Source organism: Homo sapiens, chromosome 6 (assembly GCF_000001405.40).
Source record: "Homo sapiens chromosome 6, GRCh38.p14 Primary Assembly".
Classification (NCBI taxonomy): Eukaryota; Metazoa; Chordata; class Mammalia; order Primates; family Hominidae; genus Homo; species Homo sapiens.
In genome coordinates, this window is record NC_000006.12 from 46,918,491 (window position 1) to 46,943,821 (window position 25,331).

The following is a 25,331-nucleotide window of genomic DNA, read 5'->3' on the forward strand; positions in this document are numbered from 1 at the left end:
TTTCTTTTTTTCCCCTTTCTCTTGGGATTGGGACACAACATGGCAAAGTGACCTTGAATAAAAAGTATGATCTGATAGTCATCTGGCATTAGAAGAGCACATCCTGTTTATCTAGAACATTTAATCTGCCTTTGTAAAATCTGCAAGTCTTAGGGAGCCAACATATCTACAGTGAAGTCAGTGGGGTTGTTCCAATTAAAACTGGAAAGTCAATGCCATTGTTGGAGGTGTCGGAAATCTCCTCTTCATTCTGATGTGCAGATGTGTCTGTTCCTCCGAAAGACAGCAGCAGCCAGAATTCTAATGATCTGCACTGCTGCTGACACTTTTGGTCCTAATTTCTTGGCTTCATAAACAGCCATTGCTTCTGCTTCTCAGTTTAGCCACTGTATCTTACACAGCCAAGACTCAGTGAATCTCAACCCCAGCTGCATTATAGAATCACTTTGGAGATTAAAAACAACAAACAAACAAAAAATCTAACCATGCCCTGGCCCCATCCTCAGAGATAGTGATTCAGTTTCTCTGGCAAAGTGTCTAGACATTGTTTTCTCTTTGTTAAGTTCCTAGGGTGACGCCGATGGACAGCAGGTGATAGAACTTGCTAATATCTGGACAAAGCAATAGTTTAGTCTAACTTTAGATTCCCAGCAAACATCTACCATGTGGCTACAAAGCTGACAGAATCCAGCCAATCGCATCAATTCTCTATTCCACATGACTTTTATCCTCATAGTACTGACATAAAAAAAATGGGGCTGCAAAGACAGTAATCTGAGTTTCTTCTCATCTCAGTCCTCCAAAAAAATTCATTGTGCCATTGAGGCAAATAAATTAACCTCTGAACTTCCTGTTTTTGTATTCCATTAGATGAGAATAAGTTACCTGCTTTACCTGTGACATGGTGAAAGAAGAGGCATAAAAGTCTTTTGATAACTAAAAAGTTGCATATAAATACAAGAGATTGAATGCATAATATTTAGGAGGAGACAGATTAGCCTCATTAACGTGAGGAGGTGGGACCCCATGGGATATTTTTAACTGCTCCAAAATGCCCCCAAGTACCCCATAGCGCAGTAAGTGAGGTTACTATATCATAGTCAATAAACCCACACTCAGTAAGTGAGGCAGTGTTAGTCTACAGGGCCTCAGTGGAGGTCTCTCATGTGGCTAACACTGTGCACTTGGAAGAAATGATTCATCGGAGTAGCCAGAGATCTGGAGAAGGGACAAAGGCAGGCAAATTTTACAGAACGTCCAAAATCAGCAAGGCCTAGTGGCTCTATAGTTTGGGGTGGAGAAACCCTGTAAAGAACAAGAAAATATGAAATAGCTATTGAAAGTGTTCGTATTATTCTTGGGTTTGATACTGCTTATTTATACCTTTTTCCCAAAGGCTCTCTCCATAAGCTGTATTAACTTGTTCATAGTGATGTTTTCCTTATTTGCTTGTCTCTTAACATTGTTGGTGGGGAGGGGAAGGCCACCTTTTTACAGAAGACTAAAAGAGATGGAAAATGAACCGATCTGTTAAATGCATTTATTATCCACTGAATAAAAGGGCAATCTCTCCTGTCTTCACTCTACGTTCTCTGGGCCACTTTATCTATCAATCTAGCTATTATCTATCTAGTTAATTTCCTGTTATTTTATCTTCTCCCCTTTCATTTCTAGAATAAGAAACTTCTGATGCCCTTCAAGGGAAAAGCCCAAACCACTAATTGGCAAATCTAGAATTTAATCCTTAGGAGGTTGTTACTAATATTATTAATTGTCAAAGCCAAAACCAACACAAAATAGTAATGGTAAAAATGAGTAAAACTCTTTATACTTTTCTAAGAGTTAAAAGAGCTATTCATGTTTCCCATGTATCATTTTATCTTTCACTGAGAGGAAGGAGTTTAGGATAAATCACAAGAACTTGACAATGAGAATTTATTGTACTCCTGTGCCCCGGCTTGTCCTATAGAGCTCAGAAGAACAGAAAATAAAGCCTTTAACTGGTAACACAGAAAACAATTGATAGAATAATATTTGGGGGGGGGGAAGAGAGTGTATATTGGGGGTGCAATTGAAAACTGTTAACAGAAAGCTGGCTGCGATGGCTGACACCCGTAATTCCAGCATTTTGGGAGGCCGAGGCAGGTGGATCACCTGAGGTCAGGAGTTCGAGACCAACCTGGCTAACATGGTGAAACCCCATCTCTACTAAAAATACAAAAATTAGCAGGGTGTGGTGGCGGGTGCCTGTAATCCCAGCTGCTTGGGAGGTTGAGGCAGGAGGATCGTTTGAACCCGGGAGGCAGAGGTTGTAGTGAACCAAGATCGTGCCACTGCACTCCAACCTGGGCGACAGAGCAAGACTCCATCTCAAAAAAATAAAAATAAAAATAAAATCTATTTAGAGATATTCTTTTACGATAAGAATATAGTCAAGTATTATCTGTGTAATTCAAAAATAACCTACATTGAAAAACCAACTACGTTAGCCCTTTATGAAAGAAAAAATGCTGTAGTGAAGTGGCATGACCTGGCTTTCTGAAATATGAGAAAACATGGTTTAAGCAAACCGCACATCATAGAGTTGCTCCTTTCAAAACAAGTCGGCCTGGCCCTGAAGCCCCAGCACTTTTACTGACCTCCTTCCTAATGCTGACTACAAACTCCTTTCCCCTCAGTCCTGTGTGGGAGGCTGCAGCCTACATTTTACATTTCTAAGGTCATCCCTTGTCCTTTGGAAGGACTCTCCCGAAGCTGAGCGAATAGCCAGGGCTCCCTCCTCCTGCTACTGGGATGCAGCCTCTTCCTTCCTCAGCCTGACCACAGCAATGGCCGACTGGCCCTGAAATGCTCTTGGCAAGAGCAGCAGCTCAGTAGCTCATGAATGCACTGGTTTTTATAGTATTTTCTGGTTTAAGGACGAGAGAACTTGTTTGAAAAAAAAAAAGTCTGTTATTAAGAAAATCCTAAAGGATCCCAGCTAGTTGCTTGATACGCCATCTCCTTTAATATAGTCTCATTAACTGGACCAACAGTATGCACAATGCTCTTGACTGGACATACTTAACTTTCCCAACATACATATCACACCTACGCAAAAGAAAAGCAGGCAAAGAGGATCGTAAGTGGAAGATGTCTTAAGAGAAGTGACTTAGGAGCCCCTGAGGTCTTGCTACAAAGGGAGACAGAATGACAGACCGCAGTAGGAGAAATGTCTGTTACCTGTCCAGCACTGTGGTCCCCCGGCTGGCTCCCGCTCTGATCAGATGCCTAAAAGCTTCCCAGTTTCCACTATGGGGCCATTTGTCCTGGGCCTCCTGGGCAGGGGCTCTCACGCCCAGTGGAGGGAGAACCAAGCAAGACTCATTTCGCGTTTTCAGGCAGGACTGGCAGCACCGCTCCCACGCTCAGCCTCCCCCAGCTATGATCCTCCCAGTCTCACAGAGTCATCCCTGAGAGCCGCGCTGCTGTTTTAAAAACAAAAAGTGATTTCCTGGTCCTCTTCCCCGGATGGCGTGTGCGATTTCCCTCACGCCCATGGGAAGTCCTTCAGATCCTTCTTATCTGGAAACCTCTCCACCAAGTGGACAGACTTGTTTGGCCAATGCCCCTAGTTCTCACTTTTCTTTCTCCAAAGAAAAAAATCAGAAAAGCAAAACCAGAGCAAACCAAACATAGGTTAGAGCTAATGAGAAGTACAGGATGTCTGGTTTCAACTTTTAAAAGATGACCACTAAATTAGATTGTAACTTCAGAGAGGAAGGAAAATTAAGACTATCGATGAATTCTTTGTCTTTAGCAGTGCCAAGAAAGCAGAGAAAAAAAGAATCCGCAGAAGAGAAGAGACCTAGAGAAGTTGCTTAGTCCTCCCCCGCGGGAGGGCTGTACCTCAAAAATGCCATATTGGAGGGACGTCCAGTTCTCCTAGGTTTCCAGGGAAACTCTGTGAGTATTTGTGTATCAAACTATAAATTTAGTGGTACTTAAAATACCGCTCAATAGCATGGATATTTAAAGATAAGGAGATATATGGTAAAGGCCTGGTTGGCAGGCTGCATCCAGGTTGCTGGGTTTAAAGATGAATTATAGTCAGCTCATTTTTGAACTGGAAGTGACCTCACTGATCCTCATTTTACAAAAGAGGAAACTGAGGCCCAAGGAGAACCCTTCCCAAGGTCAGAACACGGATGGGGAATGCTGTTTGACTCTCTACTCTGGAGCTCTGCCCACAGAAAGTTTGATGAATGAGGCCTGGCTTGGAATCGGCATTGGAAATAAGTGCTTCGGGTGAGTCCCATGCAGGTAGTCCCAAGAGTATCTTCAGGGAATTCCTCATAGTGTCAAAGAAAGGACTCTGGAGTCAGACTGTAGGAACTGATGCTTTAGTCCCACCAATTATATGTGGCCGGGTACACATTACTTGACCCTATTGAGATTCAGTGTTGTTTTGTTTTTAGACGGAGTCTCGCTCTGTCTCCCAGGCTAGAGTCCAGTGGCGCGATCTTGGCTCACTGCAACCTCTGCCTCCTGGGTTCAAGCGATTCTCCTGCCTCAGCTTTCCCAGTAGCTGGGACTGTAGGTGCCTACCAGCACATCTGGCTAATTTTTGTATTTTTAATAGAGACAGGGTCTCTCCATGTTGGCCAGGCTGGTCTCAAACTCCTGACCTCAGGTAATCCCCAGCCTCGGCCTCCCAAAGTGCTGGGATTACAGGCGTGAGCCACTGCTCCTGGCCCTGAGATTCAGTTTTATTGTGTGTGAAAGTGGGATAATAATAGTACTGAGTTTATAGACTCTGCTGAAACTGAAGAGGAAGAGTTTAGTAACTGTTTGTTGTTCTCTGGAGCCCTGGGCTCCAATGCCTCCAAGTTCATCCTCTCTCCCCTCCAGCTGCCTTCCCTTCTTGTCATGCTATCAGCCTGTAGCAAGTCAGCAACCACCAGCAGGACTTAGGCTTGAGACCAGAGTATTTGGGCAAGAAGAGGATGAACTCCAAAATGTTATTATTCCACTTCTAGATAATGATTCTCAACTGTAGTCTACACGTTAGATTGGATACACCCTAACTTAAAAAGAGCCTGCTGAGGGATGCAGTTCCTGGGCAAATGCTGCCTTTTTTCCTGCTCGTATTTTGGTTGTTGGGTGCAGCAGGCTGTCTAACATGGAATGGGCGTTGTCAAAGTGGCTGTCCCTTTCCTTCCCTGAGGAGCAATTCTTCTCGCCCACAGTTCCCTGCTTGTTGTTAGGAACACTATGTGCTTGCTGCACACACATTACAATGAAAACAAAAGCAAATAAAAAATGCAACCACCATATGGCCTCAGCGGCAACCCAGAATGAACTGTGGATGGAGAGACCCTGCCCTGTCGTAGCTACGGCTGGAATTGACTGTCACAGCAGCCGTTTTCTTGAATTCTAAAACGTTGGTGTTGGTGGCTGAACCCAAATTTCTTGAACCCAACTGCAAACGTAGAGAGAATAATTTACCAGTCATGTTATCACTTTGTTAATATGAAATGTCTCTCATGGCTGTAAGGTACAGTCTCATTAGAGACAAAGCTCCTACTTTCTCAGGAAGAAATTTCAGCACCAAATAAATACATATTTTCCAGCATGTTCCCAGCTGTTTCACTTCTGCCCTTCTTTCACTCTGCCCTTCTCCTTTCTTCACACAGGTAACGTTTAGTCTCTTTTTAAGTTCCAGGTGTTATTTCTTCCAAGGACCCTCCTATTTCTCCCAGCCTGAGCCAAGTATTTCTTCTCCCTGATCCCACACTGCCAGATGCATGTCTTTTTGAAGTTACCACACTGCATTCAAACAATCCATCTAATGCATTGACTGTAAGCACCTTGAAGGCAGGCACTAGTCTTATTTATGTTATGCCCAGCTCGTATTACAGTGCTGGTATATAATGGGTTATCAATAAAAGCAAGCAAAATTAAACTCTGCATTTCATTTTCCATTGCTGGTTCTTCCTCTTAACGTAAGAGTGTCTCATAGCTCAGTCTTTGAAACCCTTCTCTGTTGACACTTATTTCCCAGGTGATCTCTACTAGTTTTGGCTTAAATCTTTGTGCTGATGACTTCCAAATGTCTATCTCTATCATAGACCTCTCACCTGAATTCCTGACCCACGTATTCAACTGCTTACTTGATATCTCCTTTCAGTTGTTCAATAGGCCCTCAAACAGAACATGTCCCAAACTAAACTCCTGATCATCCCTCCCAAACTAGCTATACCATCAGTCTCTCCCATATTAGCAAAGGGCATCTCCATCCTTCCAGTTACCCAGATCAAAACCCTAAGAGTTATCCTTGAGTCCTACCTTGCACACTTTACATTTAATTTGTCATCAAATCTTGTTAGCTCTATTTTCAAAATATATGCATAGTCTGGCACTTCTTCCCCTTCTGCTGCTATCATTCTCATCCAAGCCATCACTATCTCTTGACTGGATAATCACCAGTGTCTTATCTGTCTCTGTGCATCTCCTCTTGTCACTTATAGTCTGTTCTGAAGACTGCAGTTAAAATGGTCCTTATAAAATACAAGTTATATAAAGTCCACACGTGCTCAACTCATCTCCCGTAGTCAGAGCACAGGTCTTTTCAACAGCCAGTGAGACCTTCATGATCTGCACCACCTTCTCTCCCCATCATTCATGTTGCTCCAGGCACACTGGCCTCCTTGCAGACCAGGCAGTCTTGCATTTCAGGGTCTTCACACTTGCTGTTCTCTCTGCCTGCCAGGGATGCTCTTTGCACAGATTTCCTCAAGACTCACTCCATCACCTCATTCTCACTTTTGCCCTAACATTGCTTTCTTAGTGAGGCCTTCATTGACAGCCATATCTTACATTTCATCACTCCACATCCCCCCTACTTGCTTTAGTTTTCCATATCATCTCTGGTACACTATAATACACTTTTAAATTTTGCTGGAGTCTCCACCTTGCATCCCTGGACTAGAAGGTAAGCTCCTAAGTCGAGTGCAGTGGCTCATGCCTGTAATCCCAGCACTTTGGGAGGCCAAGACAGGTGGATTACTTGAGGTCAGGAGTTCGAAACCAGCTGGCCAACATGGCGAAACCCTGTCTCTACTAAAAAATACAAAAATTAGCAGGGCGTGTTGGCAGGTGCCTGTAATCCCAGCTACTCAGGAGGCTGAGGAAGGAGAATTGCTTGAACCTGAGAGGCAGAGGTTGCTGTGAGCCAAGATTGCGCCATTGCATTCCAGCCTGAGTGACAACAGCAAAACTCTGTTGCCTGCTTAACTGACTCATTGCAGAGGAATATTTGAAAGTGTAACACACAAGCAAAATTATTAACGCCACAGCCCTGGCCAGCATAGCTAAAGTACATAATAGTTCAACTTGTGAAATTCTCCTACCTTCATATCTTGGCAGGGTAAGCCCTGCTTTTTTTTATTTTCTTTTATTTTTTAAGCCATAACCAGACGTTGGTAACCCTTTTGACCCAAGGTCAGCTCTCTTTTGGTATTTCTATATTGAGGCCAAGAAAATTCTCCTTTGGCACTGATCTGTCCTTATACAAGGAAGGAACTGGCAAATAATCGGGCAGTTTCATAGTATACAAATGGTCTTATTCTTATCTTGGGTGTGTATATTTTGGCAGAGCCTCCACTAATGGAATTGGTCATATCTGTGCTTAGCTGCAGCCACTCAGATTTTGTTTGCACTTACTGCTACTGCACCCATTCCACCAATAGACAGTGTTATTACACCTTCTTTGTGTATGCTTCTCTCAGACATTGATGTTGTTTTGCCCTGGAAGATTGCAAAGCTTCCATTTTTTGAGCCAACTGGACACAGTTGACAGCTCCCTTCCAGCACTTGTTATGACTCCAGTGATGCCCCAGCTTCTGCCAGAAATCCAAGTCACCCTCCAAGTAGGACCCTTTTCTGGATTCTACTCTTAGCACTACCCCCTCTGCCATCTCCTAGAAGAGGGAGAGACAGCATCTCGGGTGAGGGGGGGGGCAGTGCAGATTTGAGGTATGGTTCGTTGAGGTGTCATCCACACTTCTTTCTTGACCCTTATTGATCTATCCTCGGGGAGCGCTGACCACCAATGGCCTGTGAGCCGTCCACAGCCTTCACATTCCACTTTCAGCTCTTAGAGATGACATGCTGTCTATGTAGCAGGAAGTCACTTCTGATGCCCATGGTATGAAATACGTCACCCACATGCCTCAGCTGTGATGCACATAATTTCAGAATCATCGACTTGTCATTGACTCTTCCTCCCTCAGTCCCCTCCAACCCAGTCCCATGGAGAAGAGCAGGTATTTGAGGACATGGCATTCCTTCTTGTCTTGGCCTAGGAGGGAATCTATTTAGAAGGAAGCTACACTTTTCCTCTCAATGTACACATGTCATTTTGTCCATGAACACTGGGCAGTCACTCCTGTTTTAACCTCTACTTCTTTACGTACATCCTGGGTGCGGGCACTCTCCAATGGCGGATACCATATACTGCAGTAACAGCGAGGCTGATCTGCAAACATCAGGCAGAATCCTGGTTTGGGACTGCAAAGCCCTGTCCTCACAATACCATCTCCCATCCAAATTCCATCATTCTATGCTATTTTCAGTGCTTCAACATTTCCTTTGACTCCCAAAAAAGTTTCCCTCATTTTTACCTCTGATTGTAGAGATAATTTCCTCAGAATTTATCAAGGCGATTAGTGAACAGTCATAATGCCAAAACCACTAGACAAATATGTACTGAAGAGTCATCCATGCCAGGAGAAAATCAGAATAAAAAAATGTTAGAGCAAAGGGCGGCGGGGGTGGGTGGAGGGGGGTGGGCAGAGCTAGTGATCATTTGTTCCAACTATTTAGTATTAAAGTTGAAAGGCTTAACCAAGGTCACAAGCAGCGTTAGTGTCAGAGCCAGACTTAGAATTCAGATCTTGTGTCTCTGCATCCCGTGCTGTTACCTTATGCTCTGGTGAACCCCCAGCCCCCACCAACACATGCATTCCCATCCCCAATTTTCTGGTAGGAGAAATAATGGTTGTAAGTAGAATAAGGACACATAGAGGTAAACTCCTGTTACACCTCTGTACTGACGAGAAGAATAAAAACTCTGTCAACATTTATCCTCTCTTTATTTATTAAATCCAGATAACACATCTGACGCAAGCCAGCAACAGAATTTCCTTGTTAACATCATTATCACAGAAGTAGACCAGCACCAGTTAGGCAGTCTCTTTTCCATCCACAACCCCCAAGTCCCACCCACTTACCTAGGTACCAGCTTTCATAGAGTACTCAGAACAGCATCATAATAGGCGATAAAGGCCTGAAACCTCCTTCTCAGACAACACCCACAAACAAAGCTTTGCCATCAACAAGTCAACAAGCAAGCTTTATTGCAGAAGTTTCTCCACGTTGTACTTCCCCAGGCTAGAATTAAGCTCACATCATGCCAAATAGCTGTATTGCCCTCTTGAGACAGACGCATAGGCTATGCTCTGGCTAAAATGCTTCAATTTGATTCTTACCTGACTCTAACCAGGGAAATACTGAAAAGTGGGGTGACAACCACAGGAACATTTGAGGGGACAGAATAACTGACCCAAGTCAGATTGGGTTCCAGACGAAGCATAACCCAAATGCCTGCTGTGAATCCTGGTCTATCAAAATTCTAGATAAAATTGCTTTTCTCCAGCTTGTGGAAGTTCAGAGCCCACCTCAGGGTGCCTGGGAATTCCTAAGGATGTTTATATTCTCCTGGCCTGGTCAACCCATAGAACTGCCACATTCCTAGTATGTTGTGTCTGTGTGGCTCTAGGTTGGTGCAAAAGAAAAACAGCCCCTTTTTTGAATTTCACCACACACCCAGTAAATGTGAACCTAAAGTTTGGGGGTAAAGGAGTGACTAAAGTCATATTTACAACCAGAAAAATAACCAAGTTGTGACTGGAAGGGTGGATGTTACTATTTTATTGGGATATTCTGACCACCTCTTCACTGAGCGCTCCATAGACTCCCACCTTCTCTAGTGCCAGCTTCCCACCATCTTGCTGACCTCTCTTCCCTTCTTCCCTGTAATCTCCACTCTTCTCTCATTGGCTCCTCTATCTATGGGGATAACAAACATATTCCACCCCTCACTTTATGCATGAGGCCCTCTACTCTCTTAGAGGTCTGAGTCTCAATTGCTTTCTAGGTGCCTATCACACTATTTTTCTAAAGACGGTTTCTTCCCAAGGAGGACTAAAATGCTCACCATCACTGGCCATCAGAGAAATGCAAATCAAAACCACAATGAGATACCATCTCACACCAGTTAGAATGGCAATCATTAAAAAGTCAGGAAACAACAGGTGCTGGAGAGGATGTGGAGAAATAGGAACACTTTTACACTGTTGCTGGGACTGTAAACTAGTTCAACCATTGTGGATGTCAGTGTGGCGATTCCTCAGGGATCTAGAACTAGAAATACCATTTGACCCAGCCATCCCATTACTGGGTATATACCCAAAGTATTATAAATCATGCTGCTATAAAGACACATGCACACGTAAGTTTATTGCGGCACTATTCACAATAGCAAAGACTTGGAACCAACCCAAATGTCCAACAATGATAGACTGGATTAAGAAAATGTGGCACATATACACCATGGAATACTATGCAGCCATAAAAAAGGATGAGTTCATGTCCTTTGTAGGGACATGGATGAAGCTGGAAACGGTCATTCTCAGCAAACTATCGCAAGGACAAAAAACCAAACACCTCATGTTCTCACTCATAGGTGAGAATTGAACAATGAGAACACATGGACACAGGAAGGGGAACATCACACACCGGGGACTGTTGTGGGGTCGGGGGAGAGGGGAGGGATAGCATTAGGAGATATACCTAATGCTAAATTACGAGTTAATGGGTGTAGCACACCAACATGACACATGTATACATACATAACAAACCTGCACGTTGTGCACATGTACCCTAAAACTTAAAGTATAATAATAATAAAATAAAAATAAAAATAAAAAAAAGAAAGTAAAAAGATGAAAAAAAAAAAAAGATATCCCTTTCTCTTACCCCTATATTGGGACAATTTCACAGGTACAGGTGGGGTAGTTATCCATATACCTAATGTCTAAGATGAAGTAGTGATTTCTGAGCAGAGAAAGAGGCAATATGAAACTTGTGTTAAACTTGTTTAACGATGTTTGGCTTTTCCTTATGATGTCTGGCTCATGACTTAGAGCAAGAAATGGCATTCTAAATAAATTAGCTCAATGTTTCCAGGGCCTATATTCTTCTTATTATTTTTATTTTGTTATTATTATTTATTATTGTTATTTTTTGAGATAGTGTTTCACTCTTGTTGCCCAGGCTGGACACAGCAGCACGATCTTGGGTCAGTGCAACCTCCACTTCCCGGGATCAAGCAATTCTCCTGTCTCAGCCTACCGAGTAGCTGGGATTACAGGCACTCACCACCATGCCCAGCTAATTTTTGTATTTTTAGTGGAGATGGGGTTTCACTATGTTGACCAGGCTGGTCTCGAACTCCTGACCTCAGGTGATCCACCCGCCTCAGCCTCCCAAAGTGCTGGGATTACAGGCGTGAGCCACCGCGCCCAGCCTCCAGGGCCTATATTCTTTCATGGAAGAATGTTAAGTGGTTCTTTTTAACATATTAGAATACAGTTTTTAATTAAAAGTGTAGCGAATGGCACCACAGTATGAAAAATAAGATGCCAGGTGACATCAGAAGTATAAACTGTCACTTCTGTAGCAGGATTTGGGAAGCAACGGGAAAACCTGTTTATCTGTACCTCATTCCTAAAATTACACTTTTGGAGACAAATTGCTTTAAGTGAAGAAACTGCCCCTACTCTGACTCAGGTATCTTTGAAATGTTTACATATTGTTCATTTCCATTTCCAGTGAGTTCCATATTAGTGTGAACTAATTTAAACCAGCAGTTAAAGATTTAACACGGATGACAGTAGAGATAACAGGAGGACAATGAGGGTAGAAAGAAGTGGGAAATGGTGTGGGGATGGTATTTCCGAGAGCAGTTATTTATGGGCTGGCATGCAGCTTGCATGTAAAAATCATTCTGCCAATTATCAGTGGAATTGCTGTAGCCACATAAACTGGCAATCCTATTATTTATGTTAGTTTTCTCACTCCTTGAAATGGCCATTTCACACCTTCTCTTCTCTCCTCAGTCTTAGCAGTATCCTTGCCTCATATTTCACTGGAAAACAGTCAATTAAATGAAACATTTGGCTGGGTGCGGCAGCTCACGCCTGTAATCCCAACAGTTTGGGAGGCTGAGGCAGGGGGATCCCTTGAGCCCAGGAGTTTGAAACCAGCCTGGGCAACATGGTAGGACCCCATCTCTACAAAACAATACAAAAATTAGCCAGACATGGTGGTGCACACCTGTAGTCCTAGCTACCAGGGAGGCTGAGGTGGGAGGATCACTTAAGCCTGGGAAGTCAAGGCTGCAGTGAGCTGTGATCACACCACTGCACCCCAGGCTGGGCAACAGAGGGAGACGCTGTTTGAAAAAAAATAATAAACATTCATCTTCCTACATAAAAACTTCTAATCTTCTTGCACCTGCACTACCCATTGTGGTCTTCTTTCCAGTTTGAGAGGATGATAGGCCTGCCCCTTCTTCCACTGGGCTCTGGGTGCTGTCCCCTCTTACTTCCTCAGCAACATCAGCACACAAACATAGAGTATCTCTTTGACATTACGTCTTTCTCTTTCCCCTCATTTACTGAAACATTTTTCTGTTGCCCTTCACAGCTCTTCACTAAAAAGCCAAATACCTAGATCTCATCTCCACCTCTTTAACCTTCTTCTCCAGCCTCAAAGTCAGTCAAATCAATCTTCCCTCCCTACTTCTGCATCACAGCAGCTCTCAGGGAGCTCCCTCAGTCTCCAGGTTGCCATAACCAATGGTCAATTAGCTGTTCTCATCTCCCTTGACCCTGTAGCACCATTTGACATAGTTGGCCACTTCTTCCTTCTTATAAACCACAAGACATATTCTTGTGTCTTCTATGACACTCTCCTCCTGCCCTGGCAGTCCCTCCTCTCGGTCTCCTTAAGTTGGTGTGCCTAAGGCTTGGCCCAGGGGCCCACTGTCCTCTTTCACCTGTGCTTTCTCCCAGGGTGACCTCATCTGGTGTCACACTTGAAAGAACCTTCATGAATGAAGGCAAAATAAAAATATTTTTGGGCATATGAAGACTGAGGGTTTGCATCTCACTGACTGTCACTAAAAGAATGACTAACATCTGTAATCCCAGCTACTCGGGAGGCTGAGGCAGAAGAATCGCTTGAACCTGGGAGGCAGAGGTTGCAGTGAGCTGAGATCTTGCCATTGCGCTCCAGCCTGGGTGACAAAGTAAGACTCCATCTCAAAAAATAAAAATAAAACAAAAAGACTAAAACAGAATCAATTTAATTTTTGCCATAAACCTCTTTGTACATTTGGTGAAGGCTATGCAAGCCTTCTTAGAATAATGTTTGTAAATGCACAAAACAGAATATATAAGATAACGAATGAAAATAATTATATTGAAATACAGTTAAAACATAATGTGATTTAGTAGGCATATTTTTTACCATGCAAGTTTCTGGATCCCTCTGAATTTTATTCATGTGCAGTACATGAACCTATTTAAGAAAGAACAAATTGAACACTCAAGAATTGATCATTTAAAAAATATTTTTTGACCATTAGTTTTAAAAAATATTAGTTAGCAGTGACTAATGTGGAGGTAAGGTTATAAAAGAAAAGACAAACTAAAACGCTAGGTAACTGTTAAAAGGAACATAGTAGGTATTCAATTAGTACTTTTAAAATAAGTAATTAAATCAAGGACAGATTTTACCTCTTATCTCTTTTTCAGTTGGTAGGATATATACTGTTAGTGGAATCCAGTATACCCCAAAGAAAAGTCACAGCATGGTTGTGGTTGCTAGTATATCCACACAAGGGTTTTCTGTGCACATTAATGCCCCCTGAAGCCCTTTGTTTGTTAATAGGGGTACAGAGCTCCCCCATGCCACAACCTTAACCATAGTGAAAGTAATTTCTGAGGAAGAGCTAGAAATTCCCAGTACAAAACAGATGCTCAATAATTTATAAGACCTACAATAGAAGGGTGACATCGCTAGATCAGTATCACCTTCTGGTCAACCAGATGAATCATCTGTGTGGTGAAAATTACCACCCTCAAATATTCATCCCACCTCCCTACAGAGTCATTGCTCCTGGGCTCCTGTTTAATGCCTAATAATCGTGTCCCTATACTAAGACTCCTCTCAATTCCTTTGAGGGATGATGTATTCTTTTTAAAATGCCCTTTCAAGAATACATAATATGTCATGCACAATGACAATGTTTGCTTGAGAAAGAAATCTGAAAAAAGACTGGCCGACGCCAGTGTCTATGAAAAACAACAATGGCTCTGAAACTCAGCGCCAAGAAATGGCCAAAAATAAGATCACTGAGGAGAAGCACAAAGTTGGAGGCAGCAGTGATGGGAATGGAAAACGAAGCATATATGAAAATTAATCAAACTTTCTGAAGTTCAACTCCTTGGGGAGAAGGAAGAATGTGCCTCTTAAAAGCATAGAGACGTGGAATGCTGCAAAACCACAGAGCTCGTGAGTGAGCTTAGGGGAACTAAATATTAACTTGATAGTTAGCAAGGTCTTGGTACCCAAAAGCACCACTTTTATGTTACCTGTAGTGAATCGTTTTTAAAGAAAATACAAGGATAAATAATTTCCATGTCCTACACATATCGCTCAGTAAAGTAACTCCTGTTCAAAACAACTTGCTTGTTTTAATACTGGAGAAAAGCACTAGCTGTTCACTTCAAGTGGCTTTCCCCTAAATCCACTGAATTCTCTGTCTCCCCAGGTCCAAGTTGTGGATATGTCATTGGTTTGTTACCCTCTTTATTCACTGGTCTTCTCTGTCTCATACCACAATGGCAAACCCAGAGAGATGGACCGACCTAGTTGGCCTGGTGATCAGGTTGCTACTAATGAAGGTGAGTTGCTCTGCTTTCTAGCCTGAGCTTTCTATTTTAGGAATTTAAAGGGTAAGAGATTGAAGACAAAGGTGTTCACAGTGGCTGCTACTGCAATTCAAAATGGTCTAGCATTGTACAGATTGTCGTCGGGCCTCAGGGAAATTGCTCAGCCCTCCACAGCTCCCATGGCCTATCTCAGCACAATGAGGGGGTCCACATTTCCAAGTTCAAGACCTTTCATAACTACGTCACCTTCTATTTATCAGAGTCTTCCTCTCAGGACCACTAAACTATTTTTGGATCTGAAGCACAGTATACAAAACATAGCTACATATCAACAATTACACGATTATTCCAGACCCATCGCCCTTGGTTTTGCCTCATCTGACCTGGAATATTAAGGGAGGGAAAACCACATCTATTTTTAGTTTCTTCCGGAATTCCTCAAATTGTTCACTTTTCCATTTTGTTGAAAGCCATTAAGATCTAGACTTTGTGTTTTACCCAGCAGTGTGTGCACATACTTACGGCACATCTTTGTCTGGGACTCTTCATTTGAACCTTCTGGGCTCTCACTAAATATGGGCAATCTTATGAGTGACCTCTTGCCCCTGAGTCACCCGAATCCACTAATGTCTCTCTCTCTCTCTCAAAAACAAACATACACACACATGCATGCACACTCCTATGCCACATACACACTCACACTTCTATACATAAAATTAGAGAGCAGCCAGCACACATAATTCTGGACCATGGAGATATCTAGCAGAGTTGACACTTGGACCAGATCTTTTATTGACTTTCCCCTCCATTATTTTCAGCAATAATCCTTATTTGCTTGACTAATTCTTTTGATTTAAAGCAATTGACTGAAAAAGAAAACATTTTACTTTATGCTACTACTAAAATTCAGTGAAATGTTTAAGTGTGAACTCAAATTTGTATGTGCCAAATAATAATAGTATGCCTTGAAGTTTGCACTCTTCACTGTTTTAAATTTTAAACAAAAATAAAAACTCTATAAGGTCCCATATAATGACAGAATTGAAGCTACATATGTTCAGTTTCTTTACAAACACCATGCTAACATTGTGTGTTTTTAATCTACTGTTCAAATGCAGGGATGTGTCATTCTGCAGAGGCTGGAGAGACTTCAGGCAAACTCAACAGTCCCAAACCCTTAGAAACTTACTCTTGGAACAAACATATGTAGCTGAGTTCCTCTGTGTCAGGAGCTGCTATATAAATGAGAGTTTTCTGAATTACCTTCTCTGTAGAACACTATTTATTAAAAGGTAATAAATAAAAGTACATTAATTAGCAGCTTATATTACTGAAACTCACCAGTAATAGTAGCAATTGTTTAGAACTTAGACCTTCAATAGATTTTTTAGGAAAAATACTTAATCACTGATGTTGTTTGGGATCACCACCATATGGTGATAGTTCTTTTTTTTTTTTTTTTTTTTTTTGAGACGGAGTCTTGCTCTGTTGCCCAGGCTGGAATGCAGTAGTGTGATCTTGGCTCACTGCAACCTCCGCCTCCCGGGTTCAAGCCATTCTCCTGCCTCAGCCTCCTGAGTAGCTGGGACTACAGGCGTGTGCCACAAGGCCCGGCTAATTTTTTGTATCTTTAGTAGAGACAGGGTTTCACTGTGTTAGCCAGGATGGTCTCGATCTCCTGACCTCGTGATCCACCCGCCTCGGCCTCCCAAAGTGCTGAGATTACAGACGTGAGCCACTGAGCCCAGCCGATAATCCTTAAAAATGATTTAGTCAGTTTTATTGTTGATTTCAAATTCTCTACGAACAATGCACCACCTTGTTGCCTGCACTTGAGGGAAACCCCCACCACTCCACCCTGGTGTCACGGATTCCAGAGTGTCTCTTGTGGGCTCTTCATGCAAGCACAGGAGACCTTCATTCAGAGGTTCCCCATTTTCTCTTCATTAGCCTAATTTATCTCAGAGCAGTACTTTTAGGGGTACAGACCCAAGGAGGGTAGAGGAAGAATTTGCCACTATCAAATAAAAGTGGAGAGAGAGCTCATATTAAAGGAAGGCCACGTGAATCCGATTCACTAAGGCATTTCCCAGCTTCTCAAGGGGAAGCTAATGTTGCCTTTCTCCTTTTCCCCAAGTCCCTCTCCTGCTCCTGAATTCAACTCCATCTGGAAACATCTCCCTGACCCAGAGGAAGGAAGGGCTGCACAGATGTCTGTCAGTGCAGTTCCAAGCCTCCAGGGTCACCTGAAAAAAACAAGTGTGTTGTGTAATGCTGACCTGGAGTGAGAAGGAAAACAAGCTTTGACTCCACTTGACCCTGAAGGAAGGAAGCAGGAAGCCTTGTAGGGGGACGGGGTGAAGGCGTCCTCCGGAATGAGGTGTCCTATTACCGCCTGACCCTCTCCCTAATCAGGAATGCGGAATGAATGGCTCCAGCCCAGAAAGCAGAGCAACTGCAGCAGTTTCCACACCTATCTCAAAATTAGAAAACTTGCCTTGCATCGGAAACAATCCTTATGGCTCCTACTGTTTACACCACCCTAGGCACAGTGTGTCGGGTCCTGCTCAATCTTCACAACACTGCATTCTCTCCTCACCCCCATTTTACAGATGAGGAAAATCAGTCTCAGAGAGGTTGAGTTGGTCAGGATGGAATCCAGAGCTGCCCCATGCCCAAGGCCTTCCTCCCTGGGATGGGGGCTGGCTGGGGCTTGAACACTCCCGTGCCTGTATCACCTGTAGATTCTAGAGCATTAAACTTCAGACTTTGTGGTTTCGCTGTTGGTCATATGGTGCTGAGGTCCTTACTGTATCTTCTCTATCTTTTCTTCCAGATCTGCCTGCCAAACCTGCCTTCCTCGAAATATCCCTTCATGTGAAAGCATTATGAGAAAGGGTAAATCTAATTGTATACTATAATAGTGGCAGTAGGTGAGTTTACGTCACACACGCTAGGAAACTGCTTTAATCTTTCGACATCTCTCTCTTTCCAAATCATGCACGCATTCATTCCATCATCAAACATTTATTGAAAATCTACACACCAGACACTGTTCTAGGCCCTGGGGATAAGAAGTAATGAAAACAACTGTCCCCTAGGAGTCTGCACTCTAGTTGAGGGAGGTGCTGGCTAGCCTCTGTTTACCCTCCAGGTCCATCTTTGCCCTTTTCTGTGCCCCAGGAGGCTAGCCCCGCACTCTACTGTGCCTTGTCCTCTGGGAGGGTGATGGAAGGTAGGGAGAGTGGGAGATCCCAGCGGGAGGTTGTAGTATGGAAGCACTGGAGAGCTAGGCATTTTCTCCCCGCCAACTCCTTCCAGGCTGCAGTTTTGGCAGTGGTTGTGTTCCTGCCCTCTAGCCACAGATCCTGGGGGATCCCCCTCTCCCATAGCCACAGATCTTGGCAGGTTCCTCTGACACCTCTCTTACCTCCCCACCCTTCTTGACCCTTTTTACTTAATGAGAGGCAACCCATGGCTGCTCAATGCTGTCGGTTCTATGTTGACTTAACTGTTCTTACCTCTTCTGTTACCCTTTGAGAATGTCACTTCTTTTCTGCCAGGACCTTGACTGATACAGAAATACAGAAAATAAACAAACAAATGAGTTATATGTCTGATGAGCAAAAATGCTATGAAGAACATGAAGCAAGGTACAGGCAATAAGGAGTGTGTGTGTGTGTGTGTGTGTGTGTGTGTGAGTGTGTGTGTGTTGATGGGGTGGCATCAAGCCCCTCTTTCTCCCATGTCACTGAAATTCCCCTTATGACACTTACCTCATGTTTTCCCAGCCCCTCACTGCCTCAGATTTCATGCCATTGGGTTTTCTACTAAATCTTTTATTTTCTTATTTTAGTAAGCAGAGCAGTTCAGGTCAATTGTGGCTCCTACCTTAAAATGTGTACCTCAGTCCTCCCAACCATTCGTCACCATTCTAGTTGCAAGGCAACACAGTGGTCCCTGATTATCTGAGGGGGATACATTCCAAGACCCCCAGTGGATGCCTGAAATCATCAATAGTACTAAACCCCATATATACCATTTTTTATATGCATGCATACCTATGATAAAGTTTAATTTATAAATTAGGTACAGTTAAGAGATTAACAACAGTAACTCACAATAAAATAGAGCAATTATATAATATACCAGCATCACTAATCTTGTGCTTTGGGGCGATTATTAAGTCAGATAAAGGTCACTTGAACACAGGTGCTGCAATACATATCTTGACAGTCGATTTGATAACTGAGAAAGCTACTAAGTGACCAATGGTCAGAAATAAACTGGACAAAGCGATGATTCACATTCCAGGTAAGGCAGCATGAACAGCATGAGATTTCATCATGCTGCTCAGAATAGCATGTAATTTAAAACTTATAAATTTTTTTTCTGGAATTTTCCATTTAATATTTATCGACCCCACTTGACCATGAGTGGCTGAAACCACAGAAAGCAAGACTGCTAATAAGTTGGGGGGTAGGGTCTACTGATTCAGAGTTATCAATACCAGAAATGTTTCCTATTACATGTAACTTATGAATAAACATGACTTACAGTTTAATTTTAGTGTTTGGGAAAAATGTACATTCTTTAATTCTGGAAAGCCTGCAGAATGAATTCCAGTGTTCACTCTGAAAAGTCTTTGCTAGAAGAATAACATTCCAGGTGCCTTCTACAGCAGTATCCTCCCTTTCCCTTCCTTTCTGCTGGCCTCAGACACCATCACCTGCTATCTCATAAGAAGCAAATCAGAGCTGAGTGTGGTATCTTCCTCCCACACTCTTCTAACCCTTGATAAACACCTTTGACTGGCAAATAGCACTTGTCTATTTCTGTATTTTTTGGCTCTTTCAGTCATCTTGGAAGCCAATGAGAATGAGAAACTTGGGGGCTGCTGTGAAAAAGGCAACAGATTCTGATAGGTGAGGCCACTGGAAGTGACTGGTCCTCTAAGCCAGTGATAAAATCTTGGAGTTCACCCCCTAATCCCACCAGATGAAGGAGCATCTTGGTGGATGGGGATCAGCACCTTAGTGATCACTGCACTAGGTTGCAGAGATTCACATGGGTAAGGTGCTTAATCAACCCTTTGGGTGTCCCCTGACCAGGACTTCTGGGTTCCCCCTGTGAGTTCCCCCGCCTAGAGTCTCAAGGTACAGGCCTAAGATCTTCATCATTAACAAACTCTCCAGGTAACTCTTGTGCAAACCAAATTCTGAAAACCACAAATCTAAAGATGACCACACATGTTCTACCACAGAGTCCTTCACAAAGCCTCTCCCCAAAACTAGCCTTATTTTTCATTCTTTCTACTTTTCTGATTTTTTTTTTTTTTTTATGGAGTCTCACTCTGTCACCAGGCTGGAGTGCAGTGGCCCAATCTTGGCTCACTGCAACCTCTGCCTCCTGAGTTCAAGTGATGTTCCTGCCTCAGCCTCCCAAGTAGCTGGGACTACAGGTGAGTGCCACCACACTCAGCTAATTTTTGTATTTTTAGTAGAGATGGGGTTTCACCAGGTTGGCCAGGATGGTCTCGATCTCTTGACCTCGTGATCCCCCCAGCCTGGGCCTCCCAAGTTGCTGGGATTACAGGCGTGAGCCACCACGCCCAGCCTTTTCTGATTACATAAAAGCAAAAATCCCAGGGACTCATTGCTTGCTCCTTTAACTAGTGGTTCTCTTCTACCTGTGGGGCAGGAATCTTGCTTTAACATGGTTCGTTGAGTGGCCAGTTTCAGGGTATCTGGATTGGGGACAGGCAGGGCTGAAGCTTAAGGAGGGCTCAAGGTGGGCTCAAGGTGTGGAGGGGCACAGGAAACAGGAGGGCACTGGTTTGAGAAGAGTGTAGAGACTTGTGAAGACACACAGTAAATAAGTAGGTAAACAAATTAGTATATGTGACTTCAACTAAAATCTGTGTGTGAAAATTAAACAAATGAGGAGAAAGAGTAACTTAATTAAAATGTATTGTCTCTTGGGCCCAATAAAAGTAATTTTCTGTTTATTTCCTTTTTATACAATCACTGTTAATTTCAATTATTTTTAGTAGCTTCCTTTTGAACTCATTGTTTCAAAATTCAAAAGTGACTTTCACTAAAGGTTGAATTTTGTTTGTGAGGACATGGAATGGGGAGCTTCAACTAATTAATTTTACTGGTATACTAAAGGTGAAAATTTACGTAGTGCTGAAAAATCTTCAAGCATGTATTTAGCCCATTTTTTCTGTATATAATAGAGATTGTAAATGGAATTGAATCCACTTTCGATGAATGAGGATTTCCAGCTACTTCCAGATATTCTCAATGGCATTTACATTTTAATACTATAGATGGAGGAGTTTAGACTACTAGAATGATTATAAAATGCTCACAGGAACTTATTTCCTTGTGATTTTCAATTACAGTTGACCCTTGAATAACAGGAGTTTGAATTTCAAGGGCCCAGTTTTATGTGGATTTTTTTTTTCAATACATACAGTTGGTATTTGTAGTTCTGTATCTGAAACCAAACACCGATTGAAAAATATGGTTTTCCTTGGATGCTAAACCAACAATACTAATGATTGACTTTTACTTTTCCTATATGTGAGATTCTGCAGGACTTACTTTGAGACTGAGTGTGCACGGATTTTGGTATAACCTGGGGTGAAGGGGTGCAACTCTTGATTCATCACTCATGTTAAAGATTAATTGAGCCACTTGCTATTATACTTTTCACATCGATCTTTTACTTCTAAATATTTGTTTTGAGAAATTTAGTTTGTGACCATGACATTAAAGAAGATAGTTGCTTTTTGTTGGATTCTGGTAAGCAAAGGGGACAAGAAGCACATAGGGCCTCTTCTTCCCTATCCATCCTTCCAATTCTCCTTCTTTTGAGGGCATTTTGGATTTCCCAGCCTCCTCCTGCCTTATCTACAATGGAGGAAATAACAGCCCTCAGGATATATTTCAGCCTTAGCCAGTTGGCCACACTCAAGAGACACAGATCTCATATTTCCACCTGCATAACCCATCCTGTAAAGACTCAGATTCAGACCATTCTAGGGCAGAGAAGTGTGCTAAAAAGCCACAGCTCTGAAGCCCTCTAAAGAGGCAAACGCTTGACTCAAGTGTTTGCTTTGGGCAACAAGTGACTTCCTGCTTTGCAAAGAGAAATTTCAAAGGGCTGATTTTTAAAATTCCAAAGATCCCTAAAAGTCCTTATATTTTGACCCCTTACAGACAAAAATGAACCAGAATATCAGGAATATTTGGGTTGGATTTTCTTAAATTACAGAAATAACTAAAAGTTAAAGGAGCACTTACAGCAAAGAAGATAAGGGATTTAGTAATTCTTCCTCCCAAGAATTTTCAAATTTTAGTGCAGCCTAAGAATCACTCAAATAGTTCTGGCTAAGTTCTTGGCTTCACACTCAGAGTCTGCTCAGTAGACAGAGAAGTGGTTCAAAAATGTGGGCCCCCAACATTCTGGGAACTTGTTGAAAATGCAAATTCTAGGCCTACTCAGTGGCTCACATCTCTAATCCTAGCACTTTGGAAGATCAAGGTGGGAGGAGCCCTTAAAGCCAGGAGTTTCAGACCAGCCTAGGCAACACAGAAAGACCCTGTCTCTACAAACAATAAAAAGCCAGGCATAGTGGCAAGCATCTGTAATACTAGCTCCTTGTGGGGCTAAGGTGGGAGGATCATTTGAGCCCACTAATTTCAGGCTGCAGTGAGCTATGATTTTGACACTGCACTCCAACCTGGGTGACAGAGAGAAACCTTGTCAAGAAAGAAAGACAGAGAGAGAGAAAGAGAGAAAAGGTGGAGGGAGAGAAAGAAAGAAACAAAGAAAAGAAAAGAAAAGAAAAGAAAAGAAAAGAAAAGAAAAGAAAAGAAAAGAAAAGAAAAGAAAAGAAAAGAAAAGAAAGAAAAGAAAAGAAAAGAAAGAAAAGAAAGGCAGGCAGGCAAATTCTAGAGCCCACCCCAGACTTCCAGAATCTAATACTCTGGAAGTGAGGCCCAGTAACCAGTGTTTTAACAAGCTGTCAAGCTGTCCAGGTGATTCTGATGTGCACAAATGTTTAATAACCACTGAGATAGAGCATGGTTTTTTTTTTTTTACCATTGTGGTTCTCACTTTGAGAAACTATTGATGGTCCCCAGGCCTGTGTCAGCTGTATCAGAACCTCTGCATACATTTAGAAAAACACTGGCAGATAGATGGGCTGCTAGGTTCATCTGTGGGCCATCTCTTCTCTCCCCACACATAATTATCTTCAGCCGAGATGCTTCATTATCAGGGCTTCTGCCTAAAGAGCCAGCTTCGCCTCTTCCTACTCCTTCCTTTTTTCTCTTCCGCTTTATTGAGGTACAACTGACAAATAAAAAGTGTATTTATGGTGTGCTACATGCTTTTTTGCTATATGTATACATTGTGAAGTGATGACCACAGTCAAGCTAATTACTCCTTTTTTGTCATCTTACTTTACCTTTCTGAACATCCTTAGCACCCTGCAAGCACTGTGTTCTCCAGTCTGCCAACTCTCACTGTCCTTCAAGGCCCAGGTCAAGGTCATTCCCTGTAAGAAGCCTCCCTTTGACTCCCTCTAGTAGTGTGTACACCTCCCATCACCTCCTCCCCCTGTCAAAGCACCTGCTGAACTGCATTACAATGCTCTATTTATGGGCTCCTCCACTGTCCTGTGATACTGCCACCTCACACCCCACCCCAGGGTAGGACCTCATTTATCTACTGTTTTGTGTCTAGCACTTAGCGCAGTATCTGGCACAGAGTAGTCAGGTGCTTAATCTGTGTTTGTTATGAATGAATCCCTAACGCAGCACGCTATTAGAGATGCTTAAGAGGGTAAAAGCATGGGCTATGGCATGAGGCTCTTGGGTTGAAGTCCTAGTTCTACCACTTCTAGCTACTTAAATTTGGGTAAGTTACTTAATCTCTCTGATCCTCAGTTTTCTTATGTGTAAAAGAGAGACGGTGCAATTTTCTCATATTAAAGGAAGTATTCCAAATTAAGTATTTAGAGCAGAACTTGTGAGTATTAAGTCCTCCATGCTAGGAAGAAAATGGACCAGAAAATCCTAAGACTAAGATGCTTCTGTCATGAGAAGCCTGCACATAGGACACTTTTCATTCATAGTCTCTCTATTTCTCTTTCATCCTCTTTCTTTCTCTAAATATGCCTATTTTATCTCTAGACTGCTAATATTTCTTTCTTCCTTTTTCTCTTTCTTTGACATACTACTTTACAAGTCCACAGCTGAGATCCCACATGCATAACCATGAGAGATGTGTGCGTGTGTCTGCGTGTGTGCATGCATGCACTCATGCATGCGTGTGGATTTGGTTTGGTGGTTTGAGTTATTGGGTTTAAAAATGGACCTAGTGCATATCAGTAAATAGGCTATAGGCATTGACCAATTCCTCAATTATAAGTCTTGTTTTTGAAGGATAATCCATTACAATAAATAAAGTCTGCATGTCCCTGAAAATTGACACAGGAAATTGTTGACTAAAGGTGGGTCTCAAGTCAAAAGAGGAAAAAAAACCTGGATTTAGAAATTTACATCAGATATGAAACTTACACATACAAAAAAAAAAACAAGCATAATTGCCTGCTAAAGTAAGTAAGGAGAACTTGTAGACCATCTCTGAGAAAATGGATGATTTTTGCAGAAAGTTGCTAAGTTTTGTCAAGAGCAGCTGAGGTTCGATCTACAGTCACACATCATGTTGTGTTGGCAGTTTGGTTACAGATTTTTATTTTTTAAATCTTATACTTTTCCCAATATATGTATTCATATTCACAAATAGGATATTCATTCACTGGACAAATGTTTCTGGGCACCTACTTTGTGCAGAATACTATCTTAATGCTGGGAAACTTATGGATGATTTCTTTCTTACAGCAAGTTTATTGTTGTTGGTGATGATGATGATACTATTGCTATTTTTAATTGCTATCTCTTGTTGAGGACCACCTCCATCACAGGGTCTCTGCTGAGTGTTTTTTAACAAGCTTTTTAAATGCACAATGTCATTTAATTTTCACAACACACCATGAACTAGTTAGCTACTCCCATTTTAGAGAAGGAGGCTCAGAAAGGTTAAACAACTTGCCAAACCTGGTTTAAAATCTACATAGATTGAAAGTCTAGCAAATTGAAAAATTTGAGGCAGACTATGAATCCCAAACCCAGTTCTTGTCACTATACCATATTATGCTTCAAGATAGGCTGCTGAAACATAAATGAAAGGTTA

The 25,331-nt window shown here is 42.3% G+C and overlaps 1 protein-coding gene and 1 long non-coding RNA gene across 11 annotated transcripts in view, besides 1 other annotated feature; one reads left to right on the forward strand and one right to left on the reverse strand.

Moving 5' to 3' along the window:
- ADGRF5 (adhesion G protein-coupled receptor F5) overlaps positions 1 to 25,331 on the reverse strand; it is a 102,418-nt gene that overhangs the window by 65,969 nt on the left and 11,118 nt on the right. For 5 of the 8 annotated variants that reach the window (XM_017010422.3, NM_001098518.2, XM_005248892.4 and 2 more), the window contains exon 1: positions 3,223 to 3,448. The exons of the other annotated variants lie outside the window; for them this stretch is intronic. The gene's annotated coding sequence lies outside the window, so the exon portion shown is untranslated. Of the gene's footprint in view, positions 1 to 3,222; positions 3,449 to 25,331 lie in introns of those variants that run through there. 8 annotated transcript variants of the gene reach the window in all.
- LOC105375080 (uncharacterized) lies at positions 3,589 to 18,675 on the forward strand. 3 transcript variants are annotated; one of them, XR_001744147.2, is made up of 3 exons: positions 3,589 to 3,945; positions 14,942 to 15,074; positions 17,899 to 18,675. It is a non-coding gene; the product is annotated as an uncharacterized LOC105375080 (long non-coding RNA). The 3 variants fall into 3 exon arrangements; XR_007059919.1 differs by lacking the exon at positions 17,899 to 18,675 and adding an exon at positions 16,181 to 16,278; XR_007059920.1 differs by lacking the exons at positions 3,589 to 3,945; positions 17,899 to 18,675 and adding exons at positions 13,375 to 13,414; positions 16,181 to 16,278.
- Positions 7,886 to 9,085: an enhancer, noted in NCBI's record as "BRD4-independent group 4 enhancer chr6:46894113-46895312 (GRCh37/hg19 assembly coordinates)". NCBI's record gives its function as "activates an origin of replication core promoter dependent on BRD2, P300/CBP, MED14 and CDK7 cofactors, and independent of BRD4, by STARR-seq in HCT116 cells {active_cell/tissue: HCT116}" and the evidence as "EXISTENCE:reporter gene assay evidence [ECO:0000049][PMID:35650434]".